General features: G+C 39.9%; 1 protein-coding gene across 18 annotated transcripts in view; it reads right to left on the bottom strand.

Moving 5' to 3' along the window:
* The window catches only part of UNC5D (unc-5 netrin receptor D), a 561,066-nt gene that overhangs the window by 216,699 nt on the left and 328,825 nt on the right, over positions 1 to 15,542 (bottom strand). For all 18 annotated transcript variants that reach the window (NM_001438417.1, NM_001438418.1, NM_080872.4 and 15 more), the window contains exon 3: positions 11,601 to 11,744. In NM_001438417.1, the coding sequence (NP_001425346.1) occupies positions 11,601 to 11,744 (144 nt within the window). The remainder of the gene's footprint in view (positions 1 to 11,600; positions 11,745 to 15,542) is intronic.

The raw sequence follows: 15,542 nt of genomic DNA, 5'->3' as shown, positions 1-15,542 counted from the left end.
AGTTTGGAAAGTATGATAGCATCACTGCCTTGCCTATGACATTTCAATGGCCCCAAACTACATTCTGGACAAATCTAAACACTTAGCAGAGAATTTGAACACCCTCCATAATTTGTCCTGTTCACTTCTCTTTGGTAGCACCATCTTCTGCCATCTTGAGATTCATTCACTACAAGTACTGTGTTGCTTGCTTTCCCACATAGGTCACATGATGTTCCATCCTGGATGGATGGACTCAAACACTTTCCTTTACTTGGAATGCTCACTCTAAATTGTTACTCCTCCTTCTTCCTAAGGATTTAGCTCAGACATTGACTCAGGAAGTGTATCTTAGGCCTCAGGGATCAGTAAATTGTCACTCTTGGTGGCTCCTAAAATATATTGTGCCTACCACAAACCAGATTCCATGAAAACACTTGTTTGTATTTCCCTTATTATAAACTCTTCAAAGAAATGGACAATATTTTATTAATTATCGTGCTGCCTAGAACATGCTAGATAATTACCCATGGATGCCTGATACTGTTACACCTTAGTTAGTATTCTTTCACCACTTGGCAAGTTTCTGGAATGCATCTTCTCATCCTTACTTAGCTGGTGGAAGGATGTGAAATAATCTAAGATGACATTCCTAGGCTCAAAGAATCCCCAAAGATTAACTAAGGTAATATTATTTTGTTTGTTTTGCTTATCAGCTGTTTGTATTATCTGTTGGAAGTTTCCTTCAGTGGAGAAAATGAGAGTTGAATTGAAATAAAATCTATATCCTCTCCCCTGATAAACTTCTACTGAGGTTTTTATGGAAATGGCCATCTTCCAGGAACTTTTAAGGTGAATTTCACCATAAGAATGGCAGACTGAATTAAGCTGTGATTTCCTTCAAAGGTGGTAGCTATATTTCTGCAAATTCTTCTTGGTAAAATAATCGTTGGCAATAAATAGTATGAAGGAATACTATTTGGGGAAACTGTCTTTTTCACCATCCACAGTAAGATGTGGTGGAATACACTTCTGCCTTAGTGGTTCCCGTCTTGGTGTTCTTCACTGTGCATGTGTTAATTAAGCAAAAGTAGCACAACTTATATCAATTACATACGAGTTATTCTCTGTTCCTAGAACCAGAGTCTCTTACAGTTCAGTGTTGCTCACACTGTCTATTAAAATGCTTCTACTAAAAAAGGAGAAAAATTGATTAACCCCATGCCATCTACGGATGGAAACTAAAAAGATGTGGCAGGCACAAAGTAACTTTGAAGTTTCAAATTATATCTTCAAAATTTATGCAAGCATTTGCATTTCACTCCATACTGTATCCATGTTTTATTTTCGCAGATCTAAAGGGGAATATGATTGATGCTTCAGAAACATGTGCCATGTCTATCTGGTGGCTTCCTATATTCCTGGAGCACCAAGCAGTATCCCACATGTAGACAGCATTTTGAGAAACACAGTTAAATGAGCCATTACTTAAAAAGTTCCTCGACACAGGTATGTGTAATGCCTTCCTATGGTTAAACATTTTTAACCATAGGAAGATTAAAAATTTTTCTTTTCTCTTTCTTTTTTTTTTTTGAGACAGAGTTTTTCTTTTTTCTTTCTTTTTTTTTTTTTTTTTTGAGACAGAGTTTTGCTCTTGTCCCGCAGGCTGGAGTGCAATGACATGATTTCTGCTCACTGCAACCTGAGCCTCCTGGGTTCAAGCGATTCTCCTATCTCAGCCTCCTGAGCAGCTGGGATTACAGGCAGGCACCACCACACCTAGCTAATTTTTATATGTTTAGTAGAGATGAGGTTTCACCATGTTGGCCAGGCTGGTCTCCAACTCCTGACCTCAAGTGATCCATCCGCCCCAGCCTCCCAAAGTGTTAGGATTACAGGCATGAGCTACTGCGCCAGGTCACATTTTTCTAAGGATATCATTGAAGTGATGTAGTCTCCTGGGCCTATCACATCAGGATATCACATCAAATCACATGCTGTTGATTTGACCCATTTTCGGTGACATTAACATTGATTACTTGATCAAAGTGGTGTACTACAGGATTTTCCTTTGCAATGCTATTATCTAGTTACCCCTTTGTAATTAATAAGTATCTTGTGAAGTGATACATCCAGATTATATAAATATCCAGTTTTCCTGAAACTTTCACCCATTAGTTTTAGCCTCCATGCTGATGTTTGTGTGAATCAATTCATATTTCACAGATGTCTTTACAATAAGAAAGAGCTCTTCCTTGTGCCATTTACTTATATGTTCATTCATTCATTCATCTTTTAAAACATCAGTGTAGATTCATGGATTCGTATTTCATGAGCTATAATCTTTGCTATCATTTATTTTGATGCTCAAGTTGTCCCAGATTTGGTGAGTGGGAGCCCCCTCAGGGGTGCTGCTTCCTTTTCCCATGTTCAAATAGAGGGGCAGTAAATAGAACAATGGACCTTCACTCTCCAAAAACACAACATCATCAAAGACAAAGGAAGATCAGGAACTTATCCAGATTAAAGAAGGCTAAACTGACCTCACAACTGAATGTAACACATGATCTAGGAATTTGTTATTAAAGGACATTATTGCATAACTGATAAACTAAGATAATGCCCCTAGAATAGATAATAGTATTTTGTCAAATTATTGATAATGATACTAGTTATGTCAGAAAATGTCCTTGATTTTAAAACACACACCATGAAGTATTTACAAACAAGGGGGTATCATATCTGCACCTTAATCTAAAACACTTCTGAAAAAAATTTAATTTTCTCTATATAAATAAACATATAGATAAACACAGAAAGAGATCACGCTAACATAGTAAAATGTTAACATCTGAAGATTCTCAGTAAAGGGCTTAAGGGAATTCTTTGTATATATTGCAACTTTTCTGAAAGTCTGAAATTACGTCAAATGTTTTAAAACTCTGTTAGTTGCCAGGCGCGGTGGCTCATGCCTGTAATCCTAGCACTTTGGGAGGCCGAGGCGGGAGGATCACGAGGTCAGGAGATCGAGACCATCCTGGATAACATAGTGAAACCCCATCTCTACTAAAAATACAAAAAAGTTAGCTGGGCCTGGTGGCAGGCACCTGTAGTCCCAGCTACTCAGGAGGCTGAGGCAGGAGAATGGCATGAACCCAGGAGGTAGAGCTTGCAGTGAGCCGTGATTGTGCCACTGCACTCCAGCCTGGGTGACAGAGTGAGACTCTGTCTCAAAACAAACAAACAAACAAACAAACAAACAACTCTGTTAGTCCATATCTCACCTACTTATTGAATGCAGGATTCCTTCCCCAGTATCACTGCCAGACATGTATTCCTTGCCTATTTATGTACAGTTTATAGGGAGCTGTGGCCATAGAAACACTGTCTCATCAATGGGCATTTCTAGTTGTTAGCTCAACCCCAAATGTGCCACCTTAAAAGTCAGCTCATGTGATGCTGCCTCTGGCGTTCAATCAAAACAGAATAATCCTGTCCCAATTCAACATCAGACAGTTTGAATTCATACCTACCTTTTCCAGGCCAGTTATTTGCTTTTTATGTAACAACTGCATATTTGAAATGATTTCTTGAACCATCACCATTACTGACACCAGAGCCAACTTCATGGATGTGTGACCCATGCAGTCACACAGAGTTCCATGCTTGATTTAATGCACTTGCTGTTGATCACTCAAAACTCTTAATAACGTTTGAACAAAGGGCTCCATATTTTCATTTTGCATTGGGTCCTGCAAATTATGTACACAGGACTGCTGCAAAAAGTCTATGTGGTACCTTTGTGTAAACTGGACACCCACAGGCACAAGGCCTGGTGAGAAAACAGTACCTATGTGCCCAGGAAAACTAGCCTCCTCTTCCTTCAGGTGGATGAAATCACATTCTAGAGTGTGCATCTTGGCTAGTGAATGCATACTCCGGAATGTGAGAGGAGCTGTATTTCAACACTCATTTTTTTTTTTACCGGGCTAGATGCGATTACTTGGCTAGATGCACAACTTTATTTAGAGGTCCAGACTTTCAAACCCTGCAATAGTATTCCTATATATTAATTTCAGTCCATGGAAAAGGACTGAGCATTTACAGAGTAGAATAATATTGTCTCTTGGCTTTGGACACTTGTTTTTCCATGGGAGAGGAAGGAGAGTTTCAAGCTTTTGTATGATTTATACCAAGTGTTGAGCATCGGTCTTAATATTATGTTCCATGCCATGGGAATATATCCACATTCTGAACAGATAGGAAGGGAGCAGTGGAGGTATTATGGGCAGTTTAGGCCTCTTCCAGAGCTGTACACTGAACAACAGAGAGTTAGTGATTCTCATGCTTCCTAACTTCCATTCCCATTTTAGAATGGCTTCATTGTAGTACTGTTAGGAGTGCACAAACAAGAAAGGACAAAGTTGGCCCTTATCTGTCAATGTAAGCTATGAATTCACTAAGAAGCCAGATGCCATGTTAGATCCATGGTGCAATCATGACCTACAGCTAACAAAGGTCTTTTTCTAGAGCCATATCCTACACTGGCAGGGTTGCTTTTCAAGCCAAACACATTTATAAAACAAAGGTAATATACATGATTGTGTACTAGGCTAAGGAGTCAAGAAAAAGGGTAATGCAGGTTGAATCCTCAAGCAGTTTACGATCTAACTAGGGACATAAATCCACAAATACCTTCAAAATAACTATCATTCGGGGTATTTTAAGTAGTGTGGTAGAAGTACTAAATCGATGCTTTGAAAACTCAGTTAGACACTTAGAATTTATGAAATTTTGAAGCTGGGGGTGCCACAGAGCATTCCTTTCAATGACTTAGTTGGTATGTGAGGCTGCTGAGATCAACAAGTGATAGGGGATTTGCTAAACTAGGTTTTGTGAAGGAAACAGCATGCAAGATGGCCCTTGGATTTAGGGAGAGATTGGAGTGTGAGATGGGCCACAGAATATGTTCCAAGGATAAAAAAAAAATAGATAAGCAAGTCAAGGAGGGGAAAATGAGTCCCACATCCTAGACTCTAAGCATCTAGGTCATGCCACTAAGGTGGACAAAGAACACTTGCAGGGATATCATTGGAGATAAGAATGGAAATGTACAGGAAGGCTGCATCTGTAAGCCAGGAAGATGTGCCTAGATGTATTTATTTACATATTCAAATTTGTGGGTAGCAGAGGGCCATTAACAGTTTTTAGTAAGAAATTATTTGTCAAAGCCATGAAGCCAAGATCCATAATTGAGGTTTCATTTGATGTCTCTCTTCCATCATTTTCAAAAAATTTTTACCCTTCAAAAAGCAAATGAAAATAATACTTCTTTGACTATGGGAGTTTCAAAGCTTTTGAATGAAATTCTCTTTTAATTTCTTTACTCCTTCTTGGCACAATTGCATAGCTATTTTAGGGGTGTCTTAAATCAGCAGCATATTTAAATTATATTCAGGATGTATCACATTTTATACATTAAAAAACAAACAAACAAAATAGTGGTTTTCTGCTGTGTTTTCTTTCAAGTGGCTAACTTGCTATAACAGGCTTGACTAAAACAGGCAAACATTCCCTTTCTTCTCCAATCCCAACAGTCATATGGGAGAAAAGGCCCAAGTGTTAAGAAAAGTTTGCCCGGCCAAGGGTTAGTGGTATAGGCCCAATATTTTATAAGCAGATGAAGAAGAAGGAGAAAAACAGGGAAGAAAATAAAGGGCTAGGCAGCCAAATGTTCACACATGAAAATAAACAACTACAAATAATTGAATATTCCTAGTTTTGACAACCGTCCAGCAGCAGAAGTAACAGATGCCATGGCGTGCCCGTCTATCTCTGGCTCTATTGAACCAGACAAACGAGAGGAGGCCCGTGGGAGTTGTTCCCTAGAGATAGACTTCTGCCAATTTTGTGGGGTAAATGTAGGTTGGCTTTATTTATTTATTTTTACCTTTATAAAATCACTTTTGAAACTAGGCCTCCGCAATTTCCAGCCCCAGGCAGTTGGACAGCAGCCAACATCTTCCTGACACAGTGTGAAATTATTAAGGAAAAAAACAATAGTTTAAGATAACAGGCACTTTGGCTCCTAAAACAAAATGTGTGTGTGCATGCATGCATGTGTACACACACACACACAACTGGACCATGAGGAGGAATACAATTTACTCTTAAACAGAATCAGAAAGGAAAGCTATTACAGCTTTCTTCAAGGAAACACTCAAATGTACATGAACTTTTTTCTATTATGGTTTTTAAACTCCCACGTAACAGAAAAGGATCAACATACCTTAGTGCCAACAGCACTCAGGGTGAGAGTTTGAAAGATTCAGGACCTGGTTCCATGTTGGTATCAGCTGGGTGACCTTTGATCACCTAACTTTTTTTTCTTTTCTTTTTCTTTCCTAAGAGATGGGTTCTTGCTGTGTGCCCCAGGCTGGAGTGCAGTGGCTATTCACAGGCGCGATCATAGCAGACAACAGCCCCAAAACTCCTAGGCTCAAGTGATCCTCCTGCCTCAGCCTCCTGAGTAGCCATGACTACAGGCACGCACCAACATATCCAGCTCACCTAACCTTTTGCCTTTTGAAACATCACTTTCCCAGCTGTTAAATGAGGAATTTGGGTGAATGGTTAAATCAACATTTTCCAAATAGTGCTTCAGAAACATATTCTAGGGTCTTGTTACTAAAAGTATGTCCCACAGACCCACTGGCAGCATCTGTAGGTATCCAGGGAGTTCATCAGAAATATAAAATTGCGCTAGGCGCGGTGGCTCACGCCTGTAATCCCAGCACTTTGGGAGGCTGATGCAGGCGGATCACGAGGTCAGGAGATCGAGACCATCCTGGCTAACACGGTGAAACCCCGTCTCTACTAAAAATATAAAAAATTAGCCGGGCGTGGTGGCGGGCGCCTGTAGTCCCAGCTGCGTGGGAGGCTGAGGGAGGAGAATGGCGTGAACCCTGGAGGCGGAGCTTGCAGTGAGCCCAGATCGCACCACTGCACTCCAGCCTGGGCGACAGAGAGAGACTCCATCTCAAAAAAAAAAAAAAAAAGAAATATAAAATTGCAGGCCTCATACCAGCCATACTGAATTATTTTAACTGAATCACCAGCATTTTAATAGCATCCTGGTTGATTTGCATGCATGTTAAAGTTTGAGAAACACTGCTTCTGGGCAAGACAGCTCAAAGGTGATCATAGAATCACCTGGATACAACTTGATACAAACATGCCTTTCTAGGTCCTTTCTCCAGTCTCAATCTGAAAGCCTGGGGTGAAAGCTAGGACTCTGAATATTTAACTTAATACCCCATGGAAATCCATTTCAGTGAATACATGCATTATATAAATTTTTTTGTTCATATTATTTCCCTTTAAAATCAAATGATCTGAAAGTGGTATTATTCCAATGAGCTTCCTGGTGTTTTTGTAAACATTGGCTAAGGTGATCATGTCAAGACCCTACGTGTCAATGGATCCCTCAGCTGAATTGTCCCAGATGCCATAGAGGTTAAGCCCATGCAGTTTTTTTCAGTTTTTTGCTTGTTTTGTGTGGGTTTTTTTTTTTTTTTTTTTTTTTTTGACAGTCTCGCTCAGGCTGGAGTGCAATGGCACAATCTCAGCTCACTACAACCTCCACCTCCCGGGCTCAAACGATCCTCCCACCTCAGCCTCCCAAGTAGCTGGGACCACAGGCACATGCCACTGTGCCTGCCTAATTTCTGTAATTTTTTGTAAAGACGGGGTTTCGACATGTTGGCCAGGCTGGTCTCGAACTCCTAGGCTCGAGCATTCCACCTGCCTCGGCCTTCCAAAGTGTTGGGATTACAGGCGTGAGCCACTGTACCCGGCCCATGGCAGTTTTAAAATTGGTAATTCTTGCTGGATAATTGTTTAAACGCAGGAAACATAAGGAGCTCTGATGGTGAACTCCAACAATTTAATGAACAATATTAAAAGGATACCAATTTTGCAAAGCCCCCTCAAGATGATTGTCATCAGATTCATAAGCTACATTCATCTATCAAAATCCTCATTTAGCACATTAAGATGTCTCTAGTATTTCAAAAACCAATCTTTAAAAGAAGAAACATAGTGAATTATATCCAATTTAGCTTTTCATGTATTGGGAATAAAGACGATCCTCACACACAGTGTGTCACTTGCAGGAAAGTGCTTACAAATAGCAGCGAGAAATCTCTCTCATCCCCATATAGAATGAAAGACATTTTTCTCTAAAGTGGATTTTTTCTTTTCCCTGCAAGCAAATCAAAAGAATTCTAGGCAAGGTCCTAAAGGCAACTCCCCCACCCCCCTGACTTTTGATGCCATTACACTAGTTAAATTTCAATTTGCATTTTAATGTACACTGGTCCCCAAGTCAAATGCAATATTTAATGACAAATCATGTCTTGACTTGCATAAATAATTTTAAATAAATTAAAAAACCTCTCACTTGCTACATGAGAAGAAACTAAGTATGTGTTGCAAATATTAGAGATTATATTAAGTACATTGGATAATTTAGGCTTTAATAATATTCAGACATATTTTTATTTAGAAATCACATCTTTATTACATCTTTGATACAGATACAGAAGAGTGACAAAATAGTTTTTAAATCTCTAAAACAACTTGGGAGCTTATTACCACAAAAATATTTTATGATTCTAAAAAGGTGGGAAGTGATAGAACAGTGTTCTCTGGGGCTAGGCTCAGTCGTTCATGCCTGTAATCCCAGCACTTTGGGAGGCTGAGGAGAAAAAACTGCTTGAGGCCAGGAATTCAAGCAGCCTGGGCAACATAGCAAACCCCATTTCTCTCTCTCTATGTGTATATATATATTTTAAGTCCATATATATTTTACATTCTTTCTCTCTCTCTCTCTTTCTTTCTTTCTTGATGGAGTTTGGCTCTTGTTGCCCAGGCTGGAGTACAATGGTGTGATCTCAGCTCACTGCAAACTCTGCCTCCCGGGTTCAAGTGATTCTCCTACCTCAGCCTCCCGAGTAGCTGGGATTATAGGCATATGCCACCATACCTGGCTAATTTTTTCTTTTTTTTTCAGTAGAGATGGGGTTTCTCCATGTTGGTCAGGCTGGTCTTGAACTCCTGACCTCAGGTGATCCACCCACCTTGGCCTCCGAAAGTGCTGGGATTACAGGAGTGAGCCACCGTGCCCGGGCTAAGTGTTTTCTATTTTTCACATTGTTTATTCTCTCATGCCTGGGAGAGTTGGGGACTGAGGGCTGATCCAGAATAAATTTTTATAGAATCCATAATCTAAAGAAAAATTACTAGGTTACTAAAATTTTAATTCAATTTGTTTAAATAAGGATTAAGACACCTGCAAATGAAAGATGGTGGTGGAGAATCAAATATATCATAAAATAATAGCCGATGATTGATAAATGCTCATATGTGCCAGGCACAGTTTTAGATATAGTTTAACTTTAACTATGAAAATAATTCTATGAACCAGGCACCCTTTTATCAATGAAAACATTAAGACACAGAGATGAAATAATTTTTCTACCATCACAAAACTAAGTAGTAGAACTGAAGTTGGAAACCAACAGGACTCTGGAGTCTGGGTTCCTCCCCATGCGACGCATGTGTGAAAGTAGAAACTGCAGGTGTGATGGCACACGTCAGACATGCGAGGGTGACATGCAGAAGAGCAAAGCGTTTAGAAGGACCGATAATACTATACACCATGAATGGCAACGGGAAACTAACAAAGGTGTATTTGAGCCAGTCTTTGCAACATTTTGTAAGCAAAAACAAGGTTTTTCCCTGGACAAAACCCCTGGAAGTTTCCAGCAGGCAAGTCGCAATGAAGAATTAAGTGAGCAAGAAGGACAGAGATGGGGAGGACAGGCATGTGCAGAGATCAGGGAGAAGCTATTTACAGTAGTTCAGAGTATAGGTCATGTGGGCCTCAGAGAAGTGAAGAACAGGAAAGGAAAAAGTGAGGGTGAGCAGAAAAAAATTGAGGGGGTCTATATTGAAATCCCCTCTGCTGTTTTGCAGATAGAGCCTTGAAATTACCTATTTTATCTTGACTCAAGTCAGATGCCCTGGCTGGCCTGATTGAGACCATGCTGGGAGCACAGACATGAACTTAAGATGAGATTAAATGCAAACATATTCTCTCTCTCAGCTGGCCTGCTACTTTAAAGTCATAAAATAATTGTTGGCTAAAATTAATTAACTAAATAACTATAGGAAAATATTTCCCTTGGCTCTCACACCAAGAGCCTGGCTTGTGAGGTGACCTCTTCTCCCTGGCCTATCAGAACTCAGGCAATACCCAGGAGAGGGCCTCCCCAAATTGCCAGTAGAATGAAGGTGACATGTGTGTTTTGAGAGGAAGATTTCATTCCCCCTGGGAACATAAATGTCTCTGCAAATAGCAATTCACTCCTATTATTAATCTCTAAACCATCAACATCTGCTGCAGTCTCTCATCCTGTATTCTTCATGACACTCTCAAAAGGCAGTATTTGAATAAAACAACAATAACCATCTCTTCCCCTATCTCCCAATTTCTTTCTGGAGGTGATTTTACCATCCCAGGCACACAAAAGAGGTTTTATGGGGATCCATGGAGGTGGAATAATGGAAGTGGGAGGGCTGAAGACATTTGCAAGGAGGAGAAAAAAAGTTTGTGTATTTATGAAACTTTTTTAAAATTATAAAAACACTGATGCTGAAATATGATAAAGAAATATTGGACCCTTCTGAAAAGCAATTTTCTTTCTTTCATACTTTTTTCCAAGTGTGTATTTTTTTTTTTTTTTTTTTAGTCCTACTTGGGTCAAACTAATGCAGTTTTAAAACCCATTTCCATGTTTTAAGATTCAGAGAGAAGAGATTGAACAGTAGGTTATAAAAATCCCTTAATGTCTTTAATGTAGTATTCTTGCAGATTTGCTGGAAAGTAAACAGTCATTGCTCAACTTTTCCCATAAGTGCCCCTTGAACTTTGTCATTGACGGTGAACAGCAGAATCCATTTGCATGAATTTCATTCTCTCAGGAACAGGTTTTCCCTGGCATTGTTGAGACACCTGCACTCCGACTGTCTAGGCAGAATCTCCTAGCCAAACTAATTTGCTGAATGTACTCTGGAGGAAATTATCAAACTTATTTATTTATGTTTTGAGATGGAGTCTCTCTCGTTCTGTCACCCAGGTGGGAGTGCAGTGGCACGATCTCAGTTCCCTGCAACCTCCACCTCCTGGGTTCAAGCGATTCTCTTGCCTCAGCCTCTCAAGTAGCTGGGACGACAGACGCACACCACCACACCTAGCTAATTTTTGTATTATTAGTAGAGATGGGGTTTTGCCATGTTGGCCAGGCTCATCTCAAACTCCTAATCTCAAGTGATCCTCCCACCTTGGCCTCCCAAAGTGCTGGGATCACAGGCGTGAGCCACTGTGCCACGCCTGGCCAGAAATTATCAAACATTTTAAAATAACATTTTAGAAGAGTAAATTTAAGACCTCTCATTTACATTCTGTAGAAGCATCTGACATCTGTAAAACCTCTCTTCAGCTCTATTTAACTCTCATTTGTGGTCCTACAAGACAAGGTCACCCAGAATGTACTTACAGGCTATGCGCACAGAGGCCTTCCTGCTCTTGGAGGTACCCAGGTGGCTCCACGCCACACACTGGCACCAATAGTCCTCGGGCCCATGGAAGTCCTCCACCTGTTGCCTAGTAACATTGATGAACACTTCGCGGACCTTCAAACCTGATGGTGGGAGAGATAAGAGACAAATCAGCTGAGGCTGTTATATTTCTCAAACAGAAAGTTAAGGTTAGCCAAACCTTTTCTTTTTAATTAAACAATCCTGTTTTTAATCAAGGCAAGGTTTTAATTACTTTGACAATAATATATTACTGCTAATTAAATTTCAACAGCTGAGTAGGCTGGAAAGCACACGTGTAAAGTATTATCAACCAATTCCGGCTCCCATGCAATAGAATAGTTCTCACAGCACCTTGACTTAGTGCTGTTTGTCTTTCTTTGGTACTACATTCCTCATAGATTTTACACAATGTTGATTGCTGGGATTCTCCAAGCCAAAGAGGCCTCCACAAATCAATGCCAGGGACACAGTTCCAAGTTGTTCTAAGTGCCCCTACGTCTGGGTTTGGCAGCTGGGGTGAGTCATTGTAACAGTCTGGCTTAGAAGAAAGAGGAGTCAGTGAACATTTGCAGATGGGGTGACCAGGCTGAAAATCTGAGGAAGGACGAAGGCATCGGCATTCAAAGGCTCAGGACAACAAAGCCAATGGGACCAAAAGAAGGAATGAGCACAAAGAGGAGACAAGTTGAAATAAGTATTTTTTTTTTAAGCGATGGGGATCTCACTATGTTGACCAGGCTGGTCTGGAATTTCTGGCCTCAAGTAATCCTCCCATCTTGGCGTCCCCAAATGCTGGGATTATAGGTGTAAGCCACCGTGCCCAGCCACATGTGATATTTTGATACATGTATACAATATGTACTGATCAAATCAGAGTAACTGGGATATCCATCACTTAAAACATTTTTTGCTTTTCTGTATTTTTTCATTGATACATCATAGCAGTACACATAAACCAAGTTAGTCTTAAAGCCCTGAGAAGAGAACCCAGGGAGGCCCCCATAGCAATGGTATGAGGAGGTGAAGAAAGGGGGGTTTTTATAGAAAGAGTGGCTAAGGGCACAGCAGTGAACTGAGATGCAGCTATTAAGACCACAACCTTTTAATGGTTTTTTTTTTTTTTGTTACTTTACATCCTCCTTCTAAAATTAAACAAATTGTCTGGTGCTTCTAACTGGAGAGCATGAGCTTCTTCTCCACCTTTGACCAAGGACTATCAACCTTTCTTTCTTTGGGATGAGCAGTCGTCCTGTACCAAGGATGGAAGGGGCACCTCACTTGCCTCACCAGTTAACTCATCACAAACAGGGAAGCAGCCTTCACAGCCAGCACGTCCTCTTCATCCAGCACACATTCTCTGAGGTTGTGCTTTGCTCTAGGATAGGCCGGTTGGGAGAAAAAGAGGCAATGCTTATTGAATTCCATCTAATTGCCTCATGTCATGATAAGTCTCGAACCTATGCGCTCTTTACATTTCCACGGTACTCTGTGGCAGTGCATGCTATTGTGTCCCTACTTTGCAGAGGAAAGAACTATGACTCAGGAGGCTACGTCATTTGTCCACAGTCAGCGTTTGTAAATGAAGGGTCTGGTGTGTGAGCCTGGTGTTCGCACACCAAAACCAGCACTATGCTCAGGTGCCTCTTAACAATTCAATTCTGTTCCTTTATTTTAGTACTTACACTTGATTGTGGCAATAAGGTTAATACATGGAACTATTTTTTTAAATTAAGTACCTAACTATGCTTTTTCCTTTAAGTCCAAAAGAAATTCAGGGGATAGAAGCATCACTATAATCAAAATGAGTCCAGAACTCTCGATGGAGGAGGTGGATCATGATTATATCTTGGTTTCAGGATTTAAAAAACAAGAATGGAGGTGTAGGATTAGTCAGGCTGGGGAAACGTTCCCTTCCACTCAATTAATAACGTGTTATTTATGATGTGTGATGAGAGATGGTCATGGCCACATAAGTCACCATGTGCAGTTTGAGGTATACTTTCTAAATTTGTAGGAGGAACCCACGTAACAGAAAATCATCTTGATGACAGTTGGTAACTCACATTTCCCCTGTTTGTGAAAGCACAAAAGCACTGTGTTTTCCCTGTCAGAGACTATGAGTCCAGAAAGCCAACTCCTAAATCAAATAGGAGAAAAGAAGCCTTACAGATGATGATGATGTTGTTCCTGCTGCTTTGTTTTTTCTTTGTTTACACTTTAATGAAAGAAGAAATATGAATGGGCAGACAAAGGCCAGGAGAAGGCAGAGTTGGCAGGCAAAGGCAAGAGGGAAGAATGTCACAGAAAGTGGAAATAAAGGAAGGTTTTTAAAAAGTTTCTTAGAAGCAGACAAAAACATATACTGGGGAAAGGACACCCTAATTCAATAAATGGTGCTGGGTAAACTGGATCACCAAATGCAGAAGAATGAAACTGGATCCCTCTCACCATATACAACAATTAACTCAAATTGGATTAAAGACTTGAATGTAGGACCATAAGCTGTAAAAATTTTAGAAGAAAACCTAGAAAAATTATTGTAGACATTGGCCTAGGCAAAGAATTTATGACTAAGAACCAAAAGCAAATGCAATAAAAACAAAAATAAATGAGACTTAAACTTAAAAGCTTTTCCACAGCAAAAGAAATAACAGAGTAAATAGCCAACCTACAGAATAGGAGAAAATATTTGCAAACTATACATCTCACAAAGAAATAATATCCAGAATCTACAAGGGACTCAAGCAAGTCAGCAAGAAAAGACAAATAATCCCACCAAAAAGTAGACGAACAACACAGATTGTTTTCAAAAGAAGATATGTAAGTATCCAACAAAGATAGAAAAAAATGCTCAACATTACTAATTATAAGGAAATGCAAATTAAAACCACCATAAGCTACCACCTTACCCCAATCAAAATGACCATTATTAAAAAGTCAAAAAATAATAGATGTTGGCATGGATGTGGTGAAAAGGGAATAGTTACACACTATTGTAAGCGTAAATCAGTAAAACCTCTGTTGAAAACAGTATGGAGATTTCTCAAAAGACTAAAGTAGATCTACCACTTGATCCAGTAATCCCACTACTGGGTATCTACCCAAAGAAAACGAAGTCATTATATCAAGAAGATACCTGAATTTGTATGTTTATTGTACTACAATTCATAATTGCAAAGATAGGGAATCAAGCTAAGGGCCCGTCAACAAATAAATGGACAAAGAAAATGTATCATATCATGGAGCGCCACTCAGCCACAAAAAAACAATGAAATCATGTATTTTGCAGTAACTTGGATGGAACTGGAGACCATTTTCCTAAATGAAGTAGCTCAGGAATGGGAAACCAAATACTGCATGTTTTCACATATAATTGGGAGCCAAGCCATGGGTATGCAGGGGCATACAGGATGGTATAATGGACACTGGATTCTCAGAAGTGGGGAGGATTGGATAGGATGAGGGATATAAAACTACTTATGGGGTACAATGTACACTATTTAGGTGACAGGTACATTAAAAGCCCAGACTTCACTAGTATACAATTCATCCGTGTAACCAAAAACCACTCGTACCTCTAATGCCATTAATTTATTTGTTTGTTAGGACAGAAAGCAAGCTGGAGTGGAGCATGCATATTAGAAAGTAAAGTGGAGCAGGTAAAATGGAGGCACTAGGCTCTGGAGAACAGGGCTTGCTTTATGTTTTCCTCTCTGGGCAAACGGTCGATGAGCTCCTTTAAAGAGTAAAAGGTGGGAGAGAGAACATCCATCAATGCATACAGGTAGGAGGAGGTAAAGCGACTTCAATATTCCAGAGCTCCTATATTGCAGAACAGGGAGACCTATTAAAGCAGAATACACCCACACTTTGAGAAGTGGAGTCTCACCAAAGAAGCA

This window comes from Homo sapiens, chromosome 8 (assembly GCF_000001405.40).
Source record: "Homo sapiens chromosome 8, GRCh38.p14 Primary Assembly".
Taxonomy (NCBI): Eukaryota; Metazoa; Chordata; class Mammalia; order Primates; family Hominidae; genus Homo; species Homo sapiens.
The sequence above is the reverse complement of the archived record's forward strand: the minus strand, read 5'-3'. Positions and strand labels throughout refer to the sequence as shown.